Genomic DNA, 26,572 nt, shown 5'->3' with positions numbered 1-26,572 from the left:
GTACTTGCTTCTCTGCGGTGACTTGATGATGTTGCTGGTACTAAAGAGAGCAGGGTGGTTGGCGATGAAGTGAAAAGGCTTGGATTGAAACTTCAGCATCCTGCATATCTATAAAATACCCCCCGCACAGGGATCCATGTCCCCAGCAGGACTCTCCCAGAGGCCCTCCTCAGGAGACTTGTATCCTGGGACTTCTGGGGTGTGAAAGCCCACAGAGAGCTCTCCCTAGCGATAGTGGTAGCTTTAACCTCAGGGTCAGCAAGACCCAGCCCTGGCCCCTGCTGGGCCTCTGGGAGCTGGAGGAGCATGGACCTTGCACACAGGGGCCCCGGGACTCCACCAAGCCCATGCAGGAGGCTGCGCTGCCCCAGCCACCACCACTGCTGGGACCAAAGCTCCTTTGGCTGCAAGAACAGAAGCCTGCTCACTGGGTCTTAAGCAAGAAGGCAAACTCTGTTGTTAGGAAGCAGAGACTTTGGGGGAATACAAGGCAGAAAGGGCAGCCCCCCAGGGTCTCGGAGGAGGCCAAAGCCTGAGAAGTCCAGAAAGACTAACGGCCGGCCTTTCTCTCCCTTCTATGCACAACCAGGCCGTGCATACATGCAAGTCCTCACAGGCTAGGAGCTCAGTCATGACAGCCAATGTTTCATGGCAGAGAATCCCCAGGCCTGGCTTCCACACCCTGGCCACTTGGCCATTTTTCTCCCTTTCTGTGTCCTCAGTTAGGTTGCTTATTCTCTCGGATCCTCAGTCTCTTCATCTGTGAAATGGCCATCAGAGGCCAACCTCTGGAGGGCAGGGAGCCTCCCCTGAGATGCTGTGAGGATCAGAATCATTGTATTGATGCAACCGCCTCAGTGAGAATCAGGGCCTCAGCATGAGGTCCTTTGGTTTGCTTGTTTTGAAAGTAGAATTTTGGCCAGGTGGCTCATGCCTGTAATACCAGCACTTTGGGAGGCCAAGGCAAGAAGATTGCTTAAGGCCAGGAGTTTGAGACCAGCCTGGGTAATCTAGTGAGACCCTATTTCTACAAAAAAATTTAAAAACTAGCTGGGTGTGATGGTGTGCATCTGTGTTCCAGCGATTCGGGAGGCTGAAGGTGAGGATTGCTTGAGTCCAGGAGATAGAGGCTGCAGTGAGTGGTGATCATGCCTGGACAACAGAGTGAGACCTTGTCTCTTAAAAACAAAACAAAGCAAAAAAACAAAACAAACAAACAAAAAAAAAACGAAAAACCAGAGCTTCCACTGGCAGGCGTGGTACGAATCCCCTGAATCCCCCGGAATACAGAGTGGGGAGAGCTACAGGTGCACACGGGCCCCGTGCCCCTCTCAGGTCTCACACAGAGCAGAGCCGTGCTCCAGGAGGGCTGAGGCCAGGGTGGCCTGCTTGCCTTACCAGAGTTCTGCCTGCCCTGTCCCCTCTTTGTCCCCCTAATCTCCTTTGTATTTCCTCACTGACCCCAGCCATGGATCTGACTCGTAACCTGCTTTCTGTTCACAGAACTCAGGCCTTCAATGAATGATTAGGCATTCACACTGAGGGACGAGAAAGTGACGATGAGCTCTCAGAAACCTCCAGGCGACAGGAGGAGGTGGGCCGGGCTGGGCCTGTCTCCCAGGAGGCCACAAAGCCGCAGGCTGATCTGTGACCCCAAGCGCTTCCTTACCAGGAAGGACACGTGTCCTGGGGAAGTTGGCTAAAAAGTGGTAGAACAGGGACAAGAGAATGAGCCTCTGTGGCGTGAATACTTAAGGCCACATCCAAAAGGCCAGCCTGGGCCTGATGATCTAGGAAACCACATGTGACAGGCAGCACAGTGCTCCCCGAAACATTAGGTCCCAGCCACTGGAACCTGTGGTTGTCGCTTTATGAGGAAAAGGGGGTCTCTGTTGATGTGATTAAGAACAGAATCTTGAGATGCAAAGATTATCCTGGTGGGACCTAAACGCAGTGACAAGTGACCTTAAGGGAGGAAGGCAGAGGGAGGCTTGACACAGACAGAGGGCAAGTCTATGTGAAAATTCAGCACGGAGAAATTTGAAGGTGCTGGCACTGAAGCTGGAGTGATACAGCCACAAGCCCAGGAACACCGGAGCCAGCAGAAGCCAGAGGAGGCAAGGAACGGATTCTCCCTGGGAGCCCCCTGAGGAAGCAGGGCCATGCCACACTTCGATGTGGGCCCAGTGATGCTGAGTTCAGTCTCCTGGTCTCCAGAACTGTGAGAGCACAAATGTCTGTAATTTTAAGTCTCCATGTTTGTGGTCATTGGTGCAACAGCCACAAGGAAACTAACAGGCCACAAAAGACAGGTCTGTCTCCAACCCTGCAAGAATACCAGCTCCCAGGGCACTGGCAGGGGCTCTGTGTTCCCCAGGTCCAGGAGTGGCGTCACACACAGACTTGGATTGCTCCCTGGGTTTCTAAGAGTGGCTCTCCACAGTCGGATGCAAGCGCCTGGAGGGCCAAGGCTGTGTGCTGTCCATCCCTGCGTGTCTGAAACTCAGCACGGGGTCTGGCACAGGGAAAGGACTCTCAAGAGTGACTTGTGAATATGAGCATGAGCCAGCAGCAAATGGACATCGAGCCAGGAAATCAGCAGAGCAGGTTCTGGTACGTGGATGGCAGAGGTCTCATGGCATCATCCTGTATCGTTAGTTAACTTGCATGCAATGGGGCTTTTCAGATATATGCCTTGCCTTCCCAACAAGCCTTAAAAGCTCCTTAAGGTGGGGACCTCCTCCTCCCTCGCAGCAGAGATCTACACAAGGCTCGGCAAACAGGAACTGCTCAACAAAGATCCACTGGCCACTTGGCTGGTGGATGGATGGATGCCCAGTTGGGAAATTGACATTTCCCAGCCAGGCAATGCCATCCACCCATGGGCCTCAAGTGCACAGGCTTGTGAGTCCCATTTTAAAATGTAGAGTGCATAAGTCTCCAACTGTAGGCTCTGTGAGTCCAGAGAAGGCCAAGGAAGCTGCATTTTTAATTTTGAAACCAAGATCAGGTTGCAAGGCCACCTACGGGAGAGGCTGATGAAGACACCTGAAGCTGAACTAATGAAGGTTTATAGCTTCCCATAGGCTGGCCGCTGGAGTTGAGAGTTTGCTCTCTGCTTAAGCATAGATGTGATTTGAAAAAAATGCAGAAGTGGTAACACAAAATTATCTGGCTCCATTTGGGGAGGAGCCCAGCTGGTCATTGCTCAGGATCTAGTTGTCTGTGCTGATGCTCCCTGGCAAAAGCAATTGTTCAGGAGGAAGCAGAGCGATGAAGTGCAGAGAAAACTGCAACTCGACACTGAGTGAATGCAGGGTGAACACACGGAGGAGTTTTGGTGTAAACACATCTTTTTTGAGGGTTGGCGATTATTTCTGAAAATTACAGATTTTCAATGTTTGCTTTGGTAGGAACAGCTGCCACTCTAAGAGCCAAACTCTAAGCCAGAAAATATTGTGCTTTGAGCTGAGTGTTCTTGTGTTTGAGATGAAGCAGGAGCTCCCTGCAGCCTGGCACCTGCTGGGTGTGCTGGCCAGCTCCCTGCTAGTTTCCAGCCTGGGTGCCCTATGCAGAGAGATCACCCTAGTGAGAGATCACCCAGTGAGAGATCACACTGCCTTTTCCTCCAGGAAAGTGAAGAGGCTGCCCTGACTGGACACACTGCAATCCCACAATTAGGGACCACAACATTCACTTAAGAGCTGATGAGGTGGACAGCAGAAATAAGGCAAAGCATGGAACAAGGCATCAGAAAGCTGTTGGAACCTCAGCAGGGCCCCTTCCCCTCTCTGGCCCTCAAACTTTCCATCTGTTAAATGAGGGAATTTGACTCTGTCCATATGGGATACTTCATAAAAGATGTAGTTGAAAGGTTTTAGGTAGCACATGGACAACTAATTAAATAACAGTAATACCACTTTGAGAAATTTGTCCATACTTTAATTCTTTCTGTCCCTCTGATGATATCCAGTTAGAAGGCTTCTTTTGGTACCAGGATCTCTTTTGCATCATTCTCACATTTTGCTCATCTTTTTAACAAAAAAAAAAGGCGGGGGGGGGGGGGGGTGGGGGGAACAGACTTAAGGCTCATGGCTGTAAGACAAGCAAAATTATCTAGCTTGCATTTAATAATGGTTTCTTGTATTCAAGGCAAGTGATCAAGGATTTTCACCTATAGTAATGATGGAAAGTTTTGTTTCAAATAAATGTGTGTGAGCACAAAGAATGAGACAAATTGAACAGATGCATTAGGTCAATATAAATGCAGATGTTAGGTGGAGAGTGCTATCAGGTGCCTGATGTTTGGGAGTTCCTGTATCTCCCTAACCCTAAAAACCTTTCCAGTTCACCTTTCCACCAGCCTTACGAAGAGCAGTGACTGTGGTTACAGGCCACATCTTGTCCCTGATTTTCATTTAGGAGCTAGACTTGCAGTGACCCTGGGCCATCTAGCACAGAGATTGCCTTTCTATTCCTGCTGGAACCTCCAGCCTGCAACCACAGAAATTGCCTTGCCCATTCATGCCGCTGACATCTGCAGCCTCCTATGCACCCTTGACACTTTAATATCACTATCAAAAGACATATATCTGGGTGTCTGTGCTACAAGAGAACCCAGCAAGTTTTTCCTCCTGCCTGTTTACATTAAAAATACTCATTACAATTCAAATGACTTTCAAATTATGCTCATCTGGATTTCTGTGCTGTATAAAGACTCCCATGCCTATCTCTTTCTGGGGTTATAAGTTAAAATATTTTTATTATGATAAAAACTGCTTTAAAGGCTCCGCAGACATTTGCTAAACTGTAGATACTACAGCTTCATGCTGAATAAGCTGTCTCTCTCAGCCCACCCCAAAAGAAGGGAAACTGAGGACAAGGGCCCTGCAAAAGAATGTTGCGTTGAGCATCAACTTGAGTCCTGGTGGTACAGCAAGTGACAGTACTACATGCAGCAACCATGGGTTAACTCTATCCATCACTGACTGTATGGAGGGAATTACTAGCATTGGCCACCCTCAAAAAGAATGCTTGTATTCCCCATCAGTGAATAAAAGGCACAGGAAAATACATTTTAGCTAATATGAGAAGGAATTTACTAACACTCAGAGCTTTCAGCAGGGAAATGTGGAGAGATTACCCTAACACTGCCTTCAAAGGTAGTGAGCCACGAGTCTCCACAGGTCTCCACAGGAGGATCCCAATCACAGACTCGGTGGCCACTTGCCTCTGTAAAAGCAATTTGAGGCCGGGCATGGTGGTTCACACCTGTAATCCCAGCACTTTGGGAGGCCAAGGGGGGTAGATCACTTGAGGCCAGGAGTTCGATATCAGCCTGGCCAACATGGTGAAACCCCATCTCTACTAAAAATACCAAAATTAGGCCAGCCGTGGTGGCACACGCCTGTAATTCCAGCTACTCGGGAGGCTGAGGCAGAAGGATCGCTTGAATCTGGGAGGCAGAGGTTGCAGTGAGCTGAGATTGCGCCACTACACTTCAGCCTGGGTGACAGAGCAAGACTCCATCTCAAATTAAAAAAAAAAAAGAACAGAAAAAAGAAATTTGGGTGCTAGATTTGTGGATTGCATCCACTTCCAACTCTGAGAGTATGCATTCAGCTCTGCATTAGACACAAGTTCTGGAAGCAGATGAATGACATCCAGCTGAAGTTGAATTCAATGAACTATATTGGTAGACAATGGGACTGCAAGTCCAGGCACAGCAGGATCCAGGTGTTCAGATGACATCATCGAGAAGCTGTCTCTCTCTTCCCTCCTATGTGGTTTCCCAGTGGCTTCATTCTCCAGAAAGCAGCAAAGTGTCTTTCAGCTGCTCCAGGCCAGCACTCTATCAGCTGAGCAGCCTGAGCAGGAAAGAAATTCTTCCCCAGTTGGTCCAACAAAGGTCTTAAGGTTTTCCTAAGAAACAATCAGAAACTCACAAAAACCTGTATATAAGAGCATTCACTTACATCTACTGTCTACTGCAAGATAATTGAGACAACTTAAATGTTCCAAGGTGGAGAATGGGTTAAATAAATAGTAATATATCCAAATGATGGAATACTATGCAGCCAGTAAAAAGTTATTTCCAGGGAACAGTAATGATATGAAACTGTTCTTGATATATTGTTAAGCAAGATACAGAAGTAAATAAATAATAAGGTCATACTAACTAGGTCACAAAAATTTTGTTACAAAATATTTATTAATGAAAAACTGGGTGTAAATGCACCAATATATTTTCTCTGAGTAGAGGGATTACAGATGATATTATTCTTAAACATTTTTAAATTTTCTACATTTTCTACTATGAATATGTATTACTTTATATACTTAGAAAAAGGTAAACAAATATTGTTTTAAAAGCTGGACAGGCATGAGTGGCCAGCAAGTAGATCCTCAACTTAGGCAGCAGAAAGACCCACAGAAATTACTCCTGTGAGGCTGAGGACCTGCAGGTGTGCTCTGGCCCAGCCCCCAGGTGCTCCATCCGCTAGCTCCTATCTCATCCTTGGGGGATGGTTGTAGCCATAGCCAAGAGACAGTGTGCAAGAGACAGGTGCATGTGTGCATGCACACACACACACAGCTGTTCACACCAGCTCCATTGCTAAACTGGGCTATATGTTCAAGACAGACTTACAGCACAGGCACTTAGAAACTTGTAGGCCCCCTGTTGTGTCTGATAGTAACATCCGTCCATTTTACATTCAGGCTTCTTGGTAAAATGTACATAGCCTCGCCTGCTATGAATCAAAACACATCGGCGTGTCTTCTGCTCAGCCCATGGAGGCATCAGGGTGATGGCAGCTCACAGTACCCAACCCGAGGCAGCACGTACTGCAGCACCAACTGCTCCTGAAGGCGGCCAAAATCCTGGGGCCAGGGGCAATCATCTCGGTTGTAAGAGGGCCTGAAGCTGTCACCATCCCCTGTCCCTCTCTCCAAGGACACAGAGCTTAGCAATTCTGGGACCCGCCCTAGCACTGCACCTTCCCAGACCAGCCCTTCCTCTGCCAGAGTTGCTGCACCTGGCGTTTCACTGTGGTGCCTGTTATGGATTGTTCCTGAATTCCTCCTCCTATTTTTTTTTTGAAGTCATTTGGGAATGGCTTTTAGGAGGATGTGAGTCTTGGCCACATATCTGAGGCCAGGAAGAGCAAGATTTAGCTTAAGTCATGGAAGAACTATGAACATCTATTAGGCATCAATTAAAAATTGTTTAAAAACACTATGAGAGTAAGAAGTGCATATAAGAACTATCAGACTGCACGGGTGTAGTGGCTCCAGCCTGTAATCCCAGCACATTGGGAAGCCAAGGTGGGCAGATCACTTGACGCCAGGAGTTTGAGACCAGCCTGGCCAACATGGTGAAACGCTGTCTTTACTAAAAATACAATAATTATTCAGGCATGGTGATGCACACCTGTAATCCCAGCTACTTGGGAGGCTCAGGCATGAGAATCACTTGAACCCAGGAGGCAGAGGTTGTAGTATGCTGAGATTATGCCACTGCACTCCAGCCTGGGCGACAGAGTAAGGCTCTGTCTCAAAACAAAACAAAACAGAACAAAAAGAACCATCAGACAAATGCATTCATTTGTTCACTGTGAGCCCACGTGGATATGCTGGATGCTGAGAACACAGTGCAGTACAAGACTGTCCTTAACACAGCCCACGGAGTGACAGACAGACACCCGCAGAGTGACAGACAGACACAGAAATGTCAGCTGGGGCCATAGGTGACATCCAGTCAGGAAGAATAAGCAAGTGCTGTTCAAAAACAACAAACGCCCCAAAATACTAAATACATGAATGAATAAGTGTGCAAAATCTTGCAACAGAGTGGCCTGGCCTGGGTGTGGGCAGGAAAGTCATCCTTAAGGAAGTATCCTTCAAGCTGAGATCCGAAAAACAGCATAAGCAGAAGCCAACTCCGAGATGCCCAAGGGTAGAGGGTTCCAGAGAGAAGAGCAAATGTCGTGCAGAGAGGGAGGGCAAGAGGGTCCTGAGGTCTTGGGGATCAAGTGCATGCAGGGATTCCGGGCCTGGCAGGAATCTTTCTGGCCGTTTCCCAGGGAGCAGTGGAAAGTGATGTTTCAGCTACTCCAGCCTGCTTAGTGTCTCTCCTCACAAGTTCATGCTCCGCCTTTGCTGAACTGAGTCAGCTCTGAGTGGAGGTGTTCAGAGGACACAGAGGGCATGGTGGTCCTGCTGGCAGGAGGCCCTGGTGCCACAGCCATGGGCACAGCAGGAGGGAATGGGGGTATTTAGCTGGAGAGACCCAGGTCTCTCCTTTCCGTGGTTCAGGCTGCCTCTCAGTGAACAGAGGACTCCCAGTGTGGCTTCTGGGGCCTGAGAGCTGAGACCCACTGCTGCCAGTCCAAGGAGGTGGATGGGGGCCTAGAGGAAGGACTTGGGACTGGTGAGACCTGTCCATGGTGGCTGCCTTTAGGAACTTGCACAGCCCCTCCTCACCTCTGGAGGCAGGTGCTGGACAGGTCAGGGGAGCTATGGAGGGGGCTTCCGCACTGAGAGCCTGCGGTTCCCCTTGGGAGGTCTCAGTGTCAAAAAGTGGAACCTAAATTCTGGCGTCATCTCCATGCCTTTCCTCCCGCACCGCCTTTGGCCAAGATGAGTGCATGTGATGACACTGTCTTTTGCAAGGGGTAAGAGCAAACAACCAGACAAAAGTATCAAACTAGATTAGGCACAGAGTCAACTGAGCCTTCTCAGGGTAGGTCCAGCACAATGGGTCCAGAGGCTTCGGCTGTGTCGTGAGAACTGTTACAGCAGGGCTGGACGTGGAGGAAACCAGGGCCCATGGACCACCCCAGGACCGCAGCCTCCTCTCAGCAACCACGGGAGAAAGCTGCTTTGCATCGCTGGAGATGAGGCCCAAGTCCTGCATCCAATATTCAGCAGCCCTTCTGGTGCCAGCCTTGGTGGCTGGAGGATGCTGGCTGACCGAGCTGGACCCCAGGTTCTCCCTGGAATGGGGGTGCAGGGGAGGCAGGAGGAAGAGCCCTTTCTAATCCCATCCAAGCACCAGGGACTGAGAATATGGGAAAAGTGCTTTTCTCAGAGAAAATCCAAGGTGTTGTTAACAGAAGAAGGAGGAAAGGGAGGCTGGGAACATTGAAACCAACAGTCGTCTGCGTCAATAAGGAAGACCACTCTCTTGCAGGCTCCTGTTCCTACCTTCCTACCTCCCCTCCCGCAGCCACATCTGCTTCAGCCCCAAGCAGAGAGACACCCCATTGGAACTGCTCGTGGGCAAGGAGGGAGGAGCAGGTCACCCCATTTACAACCTCTTATCATGTATTTAGAAAAATTCGGGGCCGGGCGCGGTGGCTCACGCCTGGAATCCCAGCACTTTGGGAGGCCGAGGCGGGTGGATCACGAGGCCAGGAGATTGAGACCATCCTGGCTAACAACCAGGCTAACACCTGAAACCCCGTCTCTACTAAAAAAACAAAAAATTAGCAGGGCGTGGTGGCGGGCGCCTGTAGTCCCAGCTACTCGGGAGGCTGAGGCAGGAGAATGGCGTGAACCCGGGAGGCAGAGTTTGCAGTGAGCCGAGATTGTGCCACTGCACTCCAGCCTGGGCGACAGAGCGAGACTCTTTCTCAAAAAAAAAAAAAAAAAGAAAAAGAAAAAGAAAAATCCACCTGAGACGTGAGGGTTGAGTTTTTCAATATCCCGTGCTCAAAATTAGCTTCGTTCATGTTTGCTGGTAAAGCAGTCGATGCCCTACTCAGCTCCGGGCTGGCTTTGCCGATGTGTCCACCTTCCTAGTGACTTAAATTCTACTCCCAGAGGCCTCCAATATTACAGATTCTAATCTGAGGTGAGGAGGGGGTCGGGTTTGTGGGCTTCACTTTTTGTTTTTCCTCCTGACTCTGCAAAAAATGGTCTGAGAAGTTTTTGACAAAAATGTAGCTTTTCTTTTTTTTGGCTGAAATATTGAATGTATCTGACTTTTCTCCCTTCTCATAGAAATATTCATGATAACGAGCCTGGGCAACATGTCGAAACCCAGTATCTACAAAAAAAAAAAAAAAAAAAAAAAAAAAAAAATTAGCTGGGCGTGGTCGTGGAGGGCACCTGTAGACCCAGCTACTCGGGAGACTGAGGTGGGAGGATTGCTTGAGCCCAGGAGGTTGAGGCTGTAGTCAGCCATGATTGTGCCATTGCACTCCAGCCTGGGGGACAGAGTGAAACCTTTTCTCACAGAAAGAAAAATATTTATGATAGATCTGCTAAATAATGTATTGGAGCATGACCACAGGAGTACATTCTGTATAAGTATAATGTAGGCTACAAGATCTTAAATTATATCAACATAATCAGACTGAAAATTCCACTCAAAGTCCCACTTTTAGGTTCCAAATTCAAGGTCCATATATCTCTTAAATGAGTCAGTATACCTAACATGATCCCTAAGATTAAAATCCAATGAATGTGGGTGTCTGGATATTTTTGAAGCTTTTTCCCACCTGCACACACACAAAATTCAACCTATTGTTTACTTTAACTTCTGAGTGTGTAAAAAATTGTTAATGGATTTTAGAGGCATCTCCCATGGGTGTGTAGTTTCTGCCTCTCCACTCATTTCCAGGCTGGGGACCCGGATCCGGTATGGAGTGCAACTAAGGCAGATGGTCAAGACGGGTCACCTTTGAGAGGGCAAGAGCCAATCTGACGTGTTCTGAGCAAACCTCTGTGTCTGCTATGTTCCCTTCTGCACTTCTTTTCCAGGAAGACCAGCTGTCTATTCCCCCACGCTGCCTCTGGCCCAAAGGCCTGGCCAGTGAGCACCATATGACTAATTCAGACTAATTATCATGGATCAAATAGCTGCAAACTATTTCCAGTTGCCAGTCTCCTGTTTTCCAATTGTCCCTCTGTTATATGTCTAAGCAAACATTTGTTCTGCTTATCGTTTCTGAGCAAAGACATGAATCACTTGCCTAGAAGAAACCACAGAGGCAGCTGTTGCCCATTAGGAGCTGACATTTGGGAACGGGGCCTGCAAAACAGGACTCCAGAACTGGAGTTTACTTTTTATTTGTCTCAGTTCTAGAAAAGGAAGCACTGGGCACTCTAGGGGACTAGCAGCCAGGTCTGTACTATCATTTTGCGGCAGGACACTGGAATAGCGAAAGACCTCCTATTATTAAGAAATCCTTCCTTTTCCTGACTGGCCTCTGGCTCTCCTTTGGCGGAAGATGCTCTTAACTTTCCTGTGAAAGTGCCCGTGTGTTGCCCGGTGTACTCATGAACCAGTTTGCTCTCATTAAAATAATCGTGGAAGCCCTTCTAAAACAGGCTTCTAACATAGAATTAGAGGGAACTTTGTATTAGTCCATTTTCATGCTGCTGATAAAAACATACTGGAGACTGGGTAATTTACAAAGGAAAAAGTTTAATGGACTCACAGTGGCAGAAGGCTGGGGAGGCCTCACAATCATAGTGGAAGGCAAGGAGGAGCAAAGGCATGTCTTACGTGGCAGCAGGAAAGAGAGTGTGTGCAGGGGGACTCCCCTTTGTAAGACCATCAGATCTCCTGAGAAAGATTCACTACCATGAGAACAGCACAGAAAAGACCTATGCCCATTGGGTCCTTCCCATGACACATGGGAATTGTGGGAACTACAACTCAAGATGAGATTTGGGTGGAGACACAGGCAAACCATATCAAACCTTGGGTTCTCAGGAACTGGGAACTTATTTGATTTTGTAGCAACTTGCATGGAAAATCTACTTTCTAATAGGCTTTTTGCTGCACATGTCTATATGCTTCATATTATTTAATCCCCAAAACCCTACCAGGTGGGAAGAAAAGATGATATAATCAAACAAGGCCATAGACAGAGAGATAGAAACTTTGGGTTGGAGAAGCTTTCAGGCCTGATGGATTATCCCAGCTGAGCTTTGAATTGTAGGCAAGGTTAACCCAGGAAGGAAGGAGGAGATCAATGCTTGAGTGAAGGAAAACAAGGCTTAGGCAAAGGAGGGTGGGTAAGACAGGAATGCTCAGGGGGTAATTCGGTGGCATTGGTTTGAAGCTGAGGATAGTTGGGGTTGAAAAACCTAAGTAAGTCCCGAACTTCCCTCAGGGCTATGGGTCTAAACCAGCACCTCCTCCCCTGGGGAAGGGCAAAGATCTTAGAGGATGCTCTGAGCACCAGGTTCCATCAGTCTTGTAAAGCTCAACCCCCAACAGGGACCTGTATACTACAGGTGCTCAATAAATGCACATTAATGGAGACGGGAATCAGTTTGAAGATGGCGTCCATGATCACAATCAAAATCTTTTGCTCTAGGCTGGGCGCGGTGGCTCACGCCTGTAATCCCAGCACTTTGGGTGGCCGAGGCAGGCGGATAACAAGGCTAGGAGTTCAAGACCAGCCTGGCCAACTGATTGAAACCCCATCTCTACTAAAAATACAAAAAACTAGCCAGGCGTGGTGGCAGGCGCCTGTCATCCCAGCTACTCAGGAGGCTGAGGCAGGAGAATCGCTTGAACCTGGGAGACAGAGGCTGCAGTGAGCTGAGATTATGCCACTGCATTCCAGCCTGGGTGACAGTGCAAGGCTCTGCCAAACAAACAAACAAAACAACAACAACAAAAACATCTTTTGCTCTATATAAGACAATTAAAGGAATGAAACCAGAAGCTATAGATTGGGACAAAAAAAATAGTAAGTAACCTATTCATCAAAGAACTTGCATCTTTATGGGCCAGGCACAGTGGCTCATGCCTGTAATTCTCATGCCTTCGGAAGGCCAAGGAAGGAGGATTGCTTGAGGGCAGCAGTTTAGGACCAGCCTGAGCAACAAAGCAAGTCCCCTCCTCTACAAAAAATAAAATAAAAATTAGCTGGGCCTGATGGCATGCACCTGTAGTCCCAGCTAGTTGGAAGGCTGAGGTGGGAGGATCCCTCGATCCCAGGAGTTCAAGGCTACAGTAAACTATGATCATGCCACTGCATTCCAGTTTAGGGAATACAAAAGGCCCCTGTATTTTTTTTTTAAAAGAACTTGAATATTTAATGTGTAAAGAACACGCAGGCCTCAACAGTAAGTATACTAACAACTCAATTTTTAAAATGAGCAAAAGACTTGAAGAGACACTCACCAAAAAGATGTAAGAATGGCAAATAAGGACATAAAAATGTGCAACATAATTAGCTGTTAGGGAAATGCAACTTGAAGTCATAGTGAGATACCACTATATACCTATTAAAATGATAACATTTTTTAAAAAAATACTGTCAATACCAAGTGTTGGCAAACATGTCTAACAACAAGACTCTTATATATTGCTGGTGGGAATAAAAATCAGTACAGCCACTCTGAAAAAATGTTTGGTAGCTTCCTATAAGATTAGACATACACTTTCCATAGGACCCAGTAATCCCACCTTTGGGTGTTTACTCCAGTGAAATAAAAATCTGTTTTTACACAAAACCCTGTATGCAAATGTTTGTAGCAATAGTCTTCATAACTGTCAAAACTAGAAACAACCCAAAATGTCGTTCAAGGGGTGGATGGATAAACACACTGTGGTACATCCTTACAATGAAACACTACTCAGAAATAAGGAAAAATAAATTCCTAATACGTGAAATAATTTGGATGAGTCTCAAAGGCATTGGGCAGGTACGTTGGCTCACGCCTGTAATCCCAGCACTTTGGGAGGCTGAGGCAGTTGGATCACCTGAGGTCAGGAGTTTGAGACCAGCCTGACTAACATGGTGATACCCTGTCTCTACTAAAAATACCAAAATAAGCCGGGTGTGGTGGTGCATGCCTGTAATCTCAGCTACCTGGGAGGCCGAGGCAGGAGAATCGCTTGAACCCAGGAGGTGGAGGTTGCAATGAGCCGAGATCATGCCACTGCACTCCAGCCTAGGCGACAAGAGCAACAATCTGTCTCAATAAATAAATAAATAAATAAATAAATAAATAAATAAATAGGCATTATGCCGAGTGAAGGAAGCCAGTCTCAAAAGGTAGCATATGACATGACTCCATTTATGTGACATTCTTAAAGAGACAACATTGCAGTGATGGAGAACAGATCAGTGGCTCCCAGGGGCAAGGGGTGGAGGGAGTGTTTGTCTATAAAAGGGGTAACATGAGGGAGTCGGGGGCAGGAGGGGATGGAACTCTTCTGTATCCTGATTGAAGTTCTGGTTACACAACCAGTGCATGTGTTAAAATTCATACCTCTTGTAGGACATAAAGAAAAGGTGACCCATGACCTACCTCTGCTCCTGGACCATGAGCCAGACAGAAAAGAGCTGGGGGACTGTGTACAAGAGTAAACTTCCCCCAATCCCCCTCGTTTTGGTTTGTGTTCACCCTGGCCCTTGCCTGGATCCTCTTCCCGTCTTCCAAAAGGACAGGGGAAGGTGTCAGGCTCAGGGGTGGGAACCTGGGGGCCTAGCTATTCCCCATGGAGGCCTGCAACCTGTGACCTGCCACACCTCACTTTGCCTTGTGTGGCATCTTGGATTCCTGAGCTACTCTGGGGTTCTGCCTGGTAGATCGGCTTCTGCCCTGCTGCAGACACCTAGCAGAACAAGGTCCTTCGACTCTCTCCCACCTATTTTCCACTCTTTGCAGTACTGGGTTGTGTCTGTCTGCTTATTTTGTATAAAATGAAATTTGCATTTCTCTTTCACATTCTTCTTGTTTTATTTATTTGCTGCTGTTGTTGTTTGTTGGGGGATGATTATCCAGAAGAGAAATGGCAGAAGCTCCTTTGTCCTGCTAGCTTAACCCCCAGATGTCATCCCTGCATTAGCAGACAGCTGCTGGGGGCTGTGCACCAACAAAAGAAGGGATGAAACCAAGGAGGGAAAGGCATCGGCTCCAGGAAGCAGTGGATCCAATGGATGAGAGAAGTAAAGAAATTCTCCAAGCTGGAGGTGAAGAAAAGCCCATATGATAGTTGTGCTGTTGCCCAAACAGGGAACTGAACTGGAACGTCAGAGGCCTACAGAGGGGACACCTCCAAGAAGAAGAAGAAACTGCTCCCAGTGGATTTTCTGATCTGTTCAATCTTGTGGAAAATTGTCTTGACAGGCTGCAGGTAGGTAAGGGAAAACTTAATCATCTGTGCAAACAACACCAAGCAAATGAAAATGAGTTGATTATTGGCTTCAGGGAAAACAAAAGGAGAATGAAACCAACCAAGCAAGTCTAGTACACTACTTGGCTCAACTGTGAACAATAGTTACATAATGCACCATGAATATTAACAAAAGCAGCTGTGAATGAACAGGGGAAGAAGAGAGGGGGATGAAGAGGGCCAAGGTCACACCCTTAATCAAAATCAGCAGTTGGAACCAGAACCCAAGTCTTTAGTGGCTGCTCCCCAATGTTTGTCTGTGGGGGACCCAGAGAAGCACCATTCATTGGGGTGCAGTTAGGAGGTGTGTGAGTCTGGGAAGAAGGGAGTGGAGTGTCCAGGAAGAGGAGAACCAGTGGAATAAGTGTTTATCTTTCCTAAGAGGAAGACCACTTTGAATTCTCCTGAGGTCCTGCCACTTCTAGGGCTCGAGGGTGATGAGCAACACCTTTGGCCCCAGGACTCAGCATCCCTGGGCTGTAAACTGGGAGTGTTCTGCCTGCTCTCCTCCCCCTTCCCCCAGAACCTGGTAGGGACAGACAGATCCAAGCTGAGCTTTTCAGGGCCTTGCCCTGAAAAGCTTCACAGCTGTGACTGTAAAGAACACGTCTGAAGTTCAGCTGAGAGCTGGAAGTCTCAGTTAGAATCCTCAGCTCAGAAACTTCATCATATTCCTGTCCCCAAAGACCTCTGCAGAAAGCTGGAGACTTGCTGTTCCAATCAAGCATTCAAGTCTGAGCTAAGTTATTGGTTAAAACAGACAACAAGTGGGGTTCCTAGCCAGGAGAAAAGGCATGGGAGAGAAACAGCAAGCTGACACCAACTCCCCACACACCCAGGTTCAGGGCTCCTCACCAGAAAACTTCTGAGGTGTGTGAAGTCACAGGAGAGAAGTTATGAAAGTCTGGCCTTCGTCTCATCCCTGCAGCAGTCAAAGCTCTTAGGTATTTAAAGGCCATTTTCCTTTTTCATTTTCTAGGAATTAACATTGTTGATCTCATCTATGCTTGCTTCAAGCCCTACTTTTGAACCCTTGATTGTAATGTGTCCTCTTCCAGAAGGGCCTTCTCCCCAGTCTATCTTCCAGCTTTCCAGAAAAAGGCCTTCAATAGGAGAGTCTAATACCCAAGGGCCTATAGCTTGTGACTTCAGAACTGAAAGTCCAAACCTTACAACCCACCCTTCTTCGAAGCCACGTACTACCATTCCAGAATTGTATGAGTGAGTCTTGTCTCCTTGAAGCAATTTTAAATTCTCAGAGAGCAGGGATTGTATTAGTCAGGGTAAGCTAAGCTGCTATAACAAATAGACCCTCCATGCAAAGGTTCCATACAGTAGATGTTTATTTCTTGCTTACAAGACAGTCTTTGGTGTATGTGTATGTCCATGTGGTCATTCAGGGATCCAAGCTCCCTCTGTTTTGTGGTTCCACCTCACCCTAGTTCCTTGCCATCATCTGCATCCAGCTCATGGAATGGAAAAGAGCATGGGGGAGTGTTCCCAATAGGTTTTTCATGGGTTAGGCCTTTAGAGAGAACACATCACTCCCGCTCATGTTCCATCTGGTAAACCTTAATTTGAGTGGCCACAGTTAATTTCAAGTGAGCATGAGAGATGTAGTCCTCCTGTGCCCCCAAGAAATGTATGACTTGGGCAGATCAGCTCTTCTATTCCCTGAGTTCCTTTTCCTTCCCTAGAACTCAGCATAGAGAGGGACTTTCAGAGGCTGTTCCTTGAGAACTTGGTGAGGGTTGCACTGAGGTTGGCTGGCACTTTGCCAACCACATGCAGATATGCAGACAGAGGAGACTCGAGAGCCCAGGGCTCAGCTCTACCTAGAAACCTCTCATGTCTGCACTCATCAAACCTCCAAGATGAAGCAGGGCCTGCAGCACTGTGGTTGCATCAGAAAACAGATCAAAGGCTGTCTTCACAGCCACATAAGCCTCATCCTGGCCTCTGCCCACAGAGGTTGCATCTGTGCAGAAATCCATCCCACAGCATCAGGCAGGTGGGCATCGAGCCTCCACTGAGATCCTGCTCTATCAGGAAACTCATGCATCTGGTGTATCTGTCCCAGAGCAGCTCTGACTGTCCTGGACTAGGCAATGGAGACATTGATCATGGCCTTGAGCAGAGTGGTTTTGGTAGGAGTGGCAGAGACAAAAGCCAGACTAGAGGAGCTTAGGGAAAGAACAGAGCTAAATGAGCTGGAAATTACCTTTTGCAGTTACCTGGGAAAAATAAGACTGAAGATGATTATGCACATCGCAAGTGACACACACAAGCACATACGCAGCCAGGACTAGGGGCCCTCTTCTCGGAAGCCCCTGCTGCCTGCTGGTGCAGTCTTATCTCCCTAGATAGCCTCCCTGTCTTTATCCTCCTCCAGAGAAGCAGCGTGCTCCAGAGTCTGGTGCAGTGATACCAGCAGAAGCTGCAGGTAGCGTGCTGTGGAAAGAGCAACGGAGCAGGAACAGATCCCTTGGAGACACCTTATCTTCAAAATTGTTCTAAGCTCTGCAACCTACCACTCCTGCCACCACCTGGCCCAACTCACCACCATATCTTGTCCAGAAAATGAGCACAGCCTACTAACTGGTCTCTCTGATGTTGCCCTTGTCCCCCTGAGTTAGTTCTACACACAGCAGCCTTCACCATCCTTTAAAAATGTATATCTTGGGCCAGGCTTGGTGGCTTATGCCTGTAATCCCAGTGCTTTGGGAGGCTGAGGTAGAAGGATCCTTTGAGGCCAGGAGTTCAAGACCAGCCTGGACAACATAGTGAGATCCCATCTCTACAAAAAATTAAAAAATAAGCCAGGTGTGTTGTTGTGTACCTATAATCCCAGCTACTTGAGAGGCTGAGGTGAGAGGATTGTTTGAGCCCAGGAGTTTGAGGCTGCAGTGAGCTTTGATAGTACCACTGAACTCCAGCCTGGGTGACAGAGCAAGACCCTATCTCAAAAAAAAAAAAAAAAGTAAATCTTACTGTTTTACTGTTAAATATTCCCTTGTTAAGGCCCTCCCTTGGCTTTCTATACCCCTTTTTCTCTATCCCTTTTCCCACTTCCATTTCCTCACAATTAATTCTACACACTAATAATCCTTTATATTTAGTCATTTGACTTGATTATCGTCTCTTGTACTGGAAGAAGGTCTCTAGGAGAGGGTACTGGTCTTGTTCACTTCTGTGTCCCAGCCATTTAGTAGACATGCTAATATTTACTGAAGACACGTGGTTTCTTTAAGCCTCAGTTTCCCTAACTGCCAAAAGGGGACAGTGAATTCTGTGTGTCACATATTAGGGGTTTGCAAGGATTAAATAAGAAAATAAGGAAGGACAGACACTGTGGTCTGTGACATGAGCCAGGTAAGGCAGGGTGGTTTTCAACATCACTGCCTGCAGATGTTAATTTTGCAGGATATTTTTACATCATCACAGTACATGTCCGAGGTCGAACCATGGCATCTTCACTACAAACAACAGCTATAGTGCTCCTCCCAGCTGAAAACCCTGGGAGTCTATTGAAAATCAATTAGCAATGCCTCATTCTCAATGAGAAAGTCTCGGGGAGATTTATAATTTTATTTTTTTCTCAGTGTACAGAATAACATAAATCAAAAGAAGCAATAGTCTACCTTATGTTTGGACTACTTTGACCCTCTTCAACCTCTGCCAAATTTTATCTCATTTTTGTTTAACTTTATACATCAGAGTTTAATTTGAGAGCTGGTGGAGAAGACAGTGATGTATAGGGTACATCAGGTGCAGCTGAAATTACCCTGTCCCTAGGGGCTGGAGGTTGAAGGGAGGGTCTCCGTCCTGTTTCAGGTTAGAAGAGGAATGGTACAGTTTGCCCCTGGAACCCAGACTCTCTCCATGCTGCAGCCTCTCATTGATTGATTTGGCCAGGTTCGAGGAGCTTACAAAATTGTGTCCATGCAGGGCTCATGCCTCCAGAGCAGCCATGGGCTCAAAGCATCAGCCACTACGGACGATGTCATTTTTGGAACCAGATAAGGAGTTCTATTAGCATTGATTTTTCCTCTCTTTTAAGTGGATATGTTCCCCGGAAAAGTGTGTTCAGTTGGCAGTGTGTAATCTGCCAGAGAGAAGGCTGACTTTGCCATTCTGACTGTGCAGAGCCTGCCTGGCATCCCACAGAGCACTCACTGAGAGTTGCTGCGTGAACACAGGAACAAATGAATGAATGAATGAATGAATGGGTAGCCTTCTGCTTCCTCATCACTTTTTTGTTTGTTTGTTTTTGAGACAGAGTTTCACTCTTGTTCCCCAGGCTGCAGTGCAGTGGCACGATCTCGGCTCATTGCAATCTCCGCCTTCCAGGTTCAAGTGATTCTCCTGCCTCAGCCTCCCAAGTAGCTGGGATTACAGGCGTGTGCCACCATGCCCGGCTAATTTTGTATTTTCGGTAGAGACAGGTTTTAGTCATGTTGGTGAGGCTGATCTCAAACTCCCGACCTCAGGTGATCCCCCGCCCACCTCAGCCTCCCAAAGTGCTGGGATTACAGGCATGAGCCACTGCACCTGGCCTGTTTCCTCATTACTTTTATGTTCCAGCTGGCCGCAATACTTTTTAGAGATGACAAACAACAAATTGATCAACTGGGCCCCAGACACAGGAACCGGTGAGCTACTGTCTGTCCTAGAAACTCTGTTAATGTAGCTTAGGGACCCTGGATACCAGAAGGAAACTGAGATCCTCTTATCTCACTCTCATCTTTCACATGAATGTTCCCTAAGACAGCCTGGCCAGGGGCTGGGCCACCTTTATTAAATGCCTTCAGGGCGGGCCACTCATGCCATGACCCAGTGTTAGCATTTTTAAAAGTGCATTTCCCTTGTAGCACTTAACCACATTTAGAAACTATATATATTTGTGTGATGATTTGATTAAAGTCTGTCTCCCCCACTAGACCGTAAAAACACTGACAAGTTCTGTAATTAAATTTTACAAGAAAGTTCTGTTTGTCCACCTGTATCCCTAGGGTCAGGCCCAGGGCTTACCATGCGGGAAGTGTGCAATGTCTCTGAATGAACCAGTGCCAGGCACACTGGGATAGAGGGATGCTGTGATTGGCTAAGGTCAAGGTCAAGGCAGGAATGAGGACGACTGGTAAAAATGTCCAGGTACAGAAGTCATGTCACACCTGGCCACCCGGTCCACCCTCAGTCCAGAACGCCAGTAAGGGGGTTCGGGGAGGCATTAAAAGGTGGCTGGATTTCAGGGCTAGGTGAAGATGCCAACAGTGGCAAATATCTCTGGTGGGTTCCTTGCCCTAGACCTGCACTGTCCACAGTGGCTATCAGGCACCCACGTGGCTACTGAACACTGGGAATGAGGCTGGTTTGAATGGAGCTGTGTTGTAAGCATAAAATCTATACATCAGATTTCAAAGGTTTACATGGGAAAAAAATGTAGACTATCTCATTGATAAATTTTATGTTGATTACATATAATCATATGTTGAAATAATATTTTAGATATAATCGGTTAAGTAAAATGTATTTTTATGTTTGTTTTAATTAATTAATGTTTTTTTTTGAGACAGGGTCTTACTTTGTCACCCAGGTTGGGGTACGCTGGTGCAATCTTGGCTCACTGCAGCCTTAACCCCCCAGGCTCAAGTGATCCTCTCACCTCAGCCTCCCGAGTAGCTGGGACTACAGCCACACACCACCTATTTGGCTAATTTTTGTATTTGTCTGTAGAGATGAGGTTTTGCCATGTTGCTCAGCCTGGTCTCAAACTCCTGGGCTCATGTGATCTGCCCAACTCGGCCTCCCAAAGTGCTGGGATTACAGGCCTGACACCATGCCCAGCTCCAGTAAAAGGTATTATTAAAATTAATTTCAACTGTGTCTGCTTTTTGAAATGTGGTTATTATAACATTGAGAATTACGTGGCTCACATCATATTCAAGCGCTGTTCTAGAGGAAGGACTTTGGAGCAGTTCTTAATTGCAGAAGAGCTTTACATAAACACTCACCACTGAACAACAATAGTTATCAACCAAGTTGTGTCTATTCTGTGGCTGGCCCTGGGCTAGATACTTCAACCTCTAGTAGCTTTATTTTAGAGACATCATCCTGGATAAATAATCTGAAACATGGAAAAATTCTCTATACACAAAGTTTTTAATTATAGCATTCTTTAATATTAATGAAACAGGATATAACCTAAACATTTAAACAGTAGAAGAAGGCTGAGCGTGGTGGCTCATGCCTGTAATCCCAGCACTGTGGGAGGCCGAAGCGGGCAGATCACCTGAGGTCAGGAGTTCAAGACCAGCCTGGCCAACATGGTGAAACCCCGTCTCTACTAAAAAATGCAAAAATTAGTCCAGCATGGTGGCGAATACCTGTAGTCACAGCTATTGAAGGAGGCTGAGGTGGGAGGACAGCTTGAACTCAGGAGGTGGAGGTTGCAGTGAGCTGAGATCGCGCCACTGCATTCCAGCCTCGGTGACAAAGCAAGACTCTATCTCAAAAATAAATAAATAAATAAATACAGTAGAAGAATTATAATATGAACTATACTAGCATTCATTATTATGAATATTATGCAGAATATTATGCAGCCGTCAAAAACTATGTTTGCCAATGATTTATCATAACATGGCAAAATACTACAACAATGCTCAATCAAAATCTCAAAATTCAAAATCGCATCCGACTCTTACCACATCCACAGAGGCAAAGCTCCAAGGAAAGCCACTGGAAGGAGTTCCACCAAGCTGTTCACAGTTGTCTTTGGAGAACAGGATGATAAATGACTTATCTTTTCTTCTTTCTATTTTTTCAATTAGATTTTGTTTAATAATCATTTGATAACAGAGAATTATACATATTTTATCTCAAGGAAAAAGGCCCAGCCCCAGGAGTTTGCCTTCACGTTGTCAATGGCAACAGGAGGCGAGGCATGTCAAGGTGGGCGCGCTCCTTCCAGGCACATGCGGCAAACCCCAAAGCTTCTGCAGGAGCGTCGCCCATGGCCTGCATCTGCTCATGGAGTCCTTTGCCAAGGGAACACCCCCTCTCTCTGCCTGACTCCTCCACAGACTCTAAGATCTTTGAGGGCAGTGCCATGGTCTCCTCTCTTCCCATTTCTAGCCCAGGGCCGGCATAGGCTGGGTGCTTTGCAAGACGCACTGCACCTGTGCTAGTTTTCTGCCACTTGCCTTAGAGCTCTCCATGGGCTGTGCCCTGGGAGGCAAACCTGGGTGGCAGTTTCACTCGCCCCTGCAGGGGTTTATCCAATGTGGAGCCCTGGCAGGAGAGTGGAGGAACAGAAGAGAGGGTAGTCCAAGTATGCCATTCCCTGGTCACCTCCCTGTGGGTCTTCTTGGGCCCTGACTTTCTCCTGAAGGTGAAAGCTCCTCTAAAAGTGGCTCTTATCACACTCTCCTCCTGGCTTCCAGTAACCCATCCCCTTCAGGCGTGAGGAAGTAACGGTTCTGTCCATTTTCTCTTGTGCTTTCCTTCACCATTCCCTCCGTCTTTCCAAATAGCCTCTTTGGAGAATCCTCCATGAATAATCCTAATCTGAGTGTGTCCTCCCTTTCCCACCGAGCCCCTGATGCACATGGAACTTATCTGAAAACACAGTGCCTGTCTCCCCTGCAGTGTGTGGAGAAGAGAGGCACGGCGCCCGTTCTAGGAAGGGTGGCATCTCTGAGCCTTGTGACGTCTCCTAGTGTGCCCAGCACCAGGTGTGGGAGAGTCAAGTTCCAGGGCAGGCAGACCTGAGTCCAAATACAAGATCTAACCCTTCTAACAGCTGTGAGACCCTTCATTCATTCCTTCGTCTCTCAAGCCTCGTCTTCTTCATCTGCAAAATGGAGCAAAACAACTACATTTTGTGAGGATTGTGAGGATTAAATGAGGTACGATACCTAATTTCTTAGCGTGTGGCCTGGCTTGGAGTAAACCCCGCAGCAAACATCAGCTGGCACAATTATTGCTCTGACCCTCTGCGGCTGCCTCATGAACGTAAATGTCCCAAGCTGACCTCCACTCCTGAAGACATGCCGCAGCAGGATCTAAATCTTCCCTCTCCCTGTCCTGGGCTGCAGAGATTACAGGGAAGGCCCTCCCCAGGACCACAGACTGCCCCACATCCATTCTGTGTAAGCTCTGCTGTGAGACACACGGTTATTTACAGAGCAAGACAAGGAAATGACAAAGAGTAGGAGATGAGGTGCATTTTGGGAAAATCCCTTGTTTATTTAAATATTGCACTTATGAAAGACACCAGAAAGAGAAATATGGGCATTTGTGGCAATGATCAAAAAGGGAAAAAACGGAAATACATGATCAAAAACACAGGAAAGGATTACATCTGAAATAAAATTTGGTACCCTTAAAATATCTGTAATTCAACCTCAGAATGAGTGTATCTTTTAAAAGCTCTTTGAAAACACTTCCCCACTCTCTTTGTCTCTTTTCTTTATAAGGCATCTTCTCTTTAACTCCCTTTGGGAAACTTCTTATAAATGAGGATTTGCATCTCCAGGGATTACTCTGGTTAGGAAAGTGTTTTATTAAAAAATATATGTTTGCCACAGAATGCTGAGTGATATAATTAGCTGGTCCCTTCTGTTTTGTTTTAAAAGGCTGTATGGCCAAGTTCTAATTAAACATATTCTCAGGACGTTTGAAATGTGAAGGTGCCTCAGAAATGGGCACTGAAATGAAAGAAGCAATGGCTCCGGGAGTATATACCAGGAAGGAGGATCTCTGGCCACGGTGCACCCGGCAGTACGGCTTCATTTCTGTCTCTGTGTGCACAGCTACTGTGGATAGAGAAGCTGGTCCCATCCAACCTTGGTGGGACACTGCCTTGTGTTCTGGAAGACTATGTGCTAAATGAGCTGATCTTGTTCCACCCAGGACAATCCAGGAAGGCTGAGGGAGTGAGTCCTGGGCTGGGATTCTGGGGACCTGGGGATGTAATAGGTTATCATCTGTAAAGTGACAATTGCTAAGGTCCCTGCCAGCTCTGACATTCTGATTGGACACATGGCTGTTTCCACTGGCTTTGTTCTTGTCACAAAGCATAAGAATGCTCCAAATGATCACGCTGCATTTTACTCTGTGACCCCAGGAATAAAATAGAAGGCTGGAGAATCTCACTGCTGTTCCTACTGAATAATGACTGGCTCAACCACGAGAGGCAGTGCTGTGCCCTCATTTGCAAAAAGAGAAGGATACTTCCCTGTCTCCCTTTTGGAGAAGCAAGTAACCTGGAAATGGAAGTATTCTGTCCCCATTCAGAAGGATGGGCTAGGAGCCCACAGGAGTTTAGAGTTTAGAAATGCCCCCTCTGAATCCTCCCGCCTGGGCACACTGTGAGACACCCTTAGTCTTTACAAAGCACTTTCATATTCACTAATGCCTCTTACAGAGCAAGCGGAGCTCTCATTTCATTGCTAGCGGGGATACAAAATGCTACACTCACTTTGGAAAACAGTTTAGCACTTTCTTGTAGCATTATACACGCTCTTACCATTGACCTAGCAATCATTCTCCTAGGTATTGAAACTTAAGAGAAATGAAAACTTATGTTCACCCAAAACCTAGAGGTGCTTGTACATCGTGGCTTTATTTGTAATCACCCCAAACTGGAAACAACCCAGTTGTCCTCTAACTGATGAATGGATAAACAGATCTGGGTACATCCATGCAAAGGAATACTTCTCAGCACTGCTAAGACACAAACTTACTGATACATCCGACAACATAGATAAATCTCAAATGCATTACACTAGATGAAAGAAGCCAGACTTGAAAGGTGACATACTCTATAATTCCACATACGCTACACCCTGGAAAAGGGAAAGCTTTAAGGTGAAGAACAGATCAGAGGTTCAGTGGTTTCTAATGCGGGGGAGCTGGGGTTAAGGGCAGGCAGATAGTTTGACTACAAAAAGGCAGCATAAAGCAGTTTTGGGGGAGTAAGAAAACTATTCTAGGCCAGGCACGGTGGCTCATGCCTATAATCACAGCACTTTGGGAGGTCAAAAAGGGTGGATCACCTGAGGTTAGGAGTTCGAGACCAGCCTGTCAACATGGTGAAACCCTGCCTCTACTAAAAAAAAAAAAAAAAAAAAAAAAAAAAAAAAAAAAAAAAGCCAGGTGTGGTGCTGGGCACCTGTAGTCCCAGCCACTCGGGAGGCTGAGGCAGAAGAATCACTTGAACCTGGGAGGTGGAGGTTGCAGTGAGCCAAGATTGTACTATTGCATTCCAGCCCCGGCGACAAGAGCCAAACTCTGTCCAAAAAAAAAAAAGAAAAAAAAGAAAACGACTCTAAATCTTTTAAAAAAAATTTTTGAGATGGGGTTTTCCTCTGTCACCCAGGCTGGAGTACAGCGGTGCAATCACAGCACACTGCAGCCTCAACCTCCCAGGTTCAAGTGATCCTCCTGCCTTAGCCTTCCAAGTAGCTGGGGCTACAGGCACATGCCACCATGCCCAGCTAATTTTTAAAAAGTTTTTTGTAAAGATGGGGTCTCACTATGTTGCTCAAGCTGATCTTGAAGTCCTGGGCTCAAGCGATGCTCCTGCCTCAGCCTCCCAATGTGCTGGGATTACAGGTGTAAGCCACCACCACACCTAGCCACTGTTCCAAATCTTGATGGCAGTGGTAGTTATGTGATTTTGTGCATTTGGCAAAACTCAGAAAACTGCATCCCAAAAAAATGCATTTTATTATATGCAAATTAAAAAATGAATTTAAAAATATCCTATAGGCTTGGCAGTAAGCATGGTGGTTGTTTGAGGTTGCCTCCTCCCCATACAGTACTCATTTTGTCCTACTAGGAGTGCTCAGTAAGGCGTCAGGGCATGGCATTCACTGCAGATGCCTCCTGCTTCATGGACGTGGCCCCTGGAAACTGAAGGGTATGACTTAGATTACATGGGTCAATGAAAAGTTTTCTATTATTCTCTTCCTTGTGGAATGTGGACAAAGAAGCAATTAGTTCCACTCGCCATTTGTGGTCCTCTTGAAATCATAAGATAAAACACCTTGAGGATGAGATTATGCCGAAAACGAAGCGAAGAGTAAGAAGGCAGAGCAAACTGGCTTCCTGTTAATATAATGGAGCCATAATCTACCTCTTGCCAATTTCCTTAAGCCAGTGTGAGCAGGGGGTCGTATTTCTCACAGATAAAAGCATCCTAGGAAATATAGTGAGAGATGTCACTGAAACATTTCTGATCTGATCCACTGTCCCAAACCAATCTGAAACAAACCTGGGCAACAGAGAACTTGGGTGAAATAATGTGAAACATATATGCAACGGATAATGGCAGGACTTGAACAGGCATCTCACAAATAAGGCATTCCCGATCACCACGCAGATATAAAAAAGGTGCTCAAACTCATTAGTAAT

At 46.7% G+C, this 26,572-nt stretch overlaps 2 long non-coding RNA genes across 4 annotated transcripts in view, besides 1 other annotated feature; both read right to left on the bottom strand.

The window, feature by feature from the left end:
• The window catches only part of TSHZ3-AS1 (TSHZ3 antisense RNA 1), a 101,016-nt gene that overhangs the window by 33,347 nt on the left and 41,097 nt on the right, over nucleotides 1-26,572 (bottom strand). The gene's annotated exons all lie outside the window — the stretch shown is intronic.
• Nucleotides 366-867: an enhancer, noted in NCBI's record as "H3K4me1 hESC enhancer chr19:31879539-31880040 (GRCh37/hg19 assembly coordinates)". NCBI's record gives its function as "activates a minimal SCP1, AML or CMV promoter by ChIP-STARR-seq in naive H9 embryonic stem cells {active_cell/tissue: H9 hESC(naive)}" and the evidence as "EXISTENCE:reporter gene assay evidence [ECO:0000049][PMID:30033119]".
• On the bottom strand, nucleotides 3,921-25,219 carry LOC124904794 (uncharacterized). The gene is made up of 2 exons (XR_007067377.1): nucleotides 21,859-25,219; nucleotides 3,921-5,922 (listed from the first exon to the last, which is right to left on the bottom strand). It is a non-coding gene; the product is annotated as an uncharacterized LOC124904794 (long non-coding RNA).

This window comes from Homo sapiens, chromosome 19 (assembly GCF_000001405.40).
Source record: "Homo sapiens chromosome 19, GRCh38.p14 Primary Assembly".
Taxonomy (NCBI): domain Eukaryota; kingdom Metazoa; phylum Chordata; class Mammalia; order Primates; family Hominidae; genus Homo; species Homo sapiens.
Note: the sequence above shows the minus strand (reverse complement) of the source record. Positions and strands in the feature narration are given on the sequence as shown.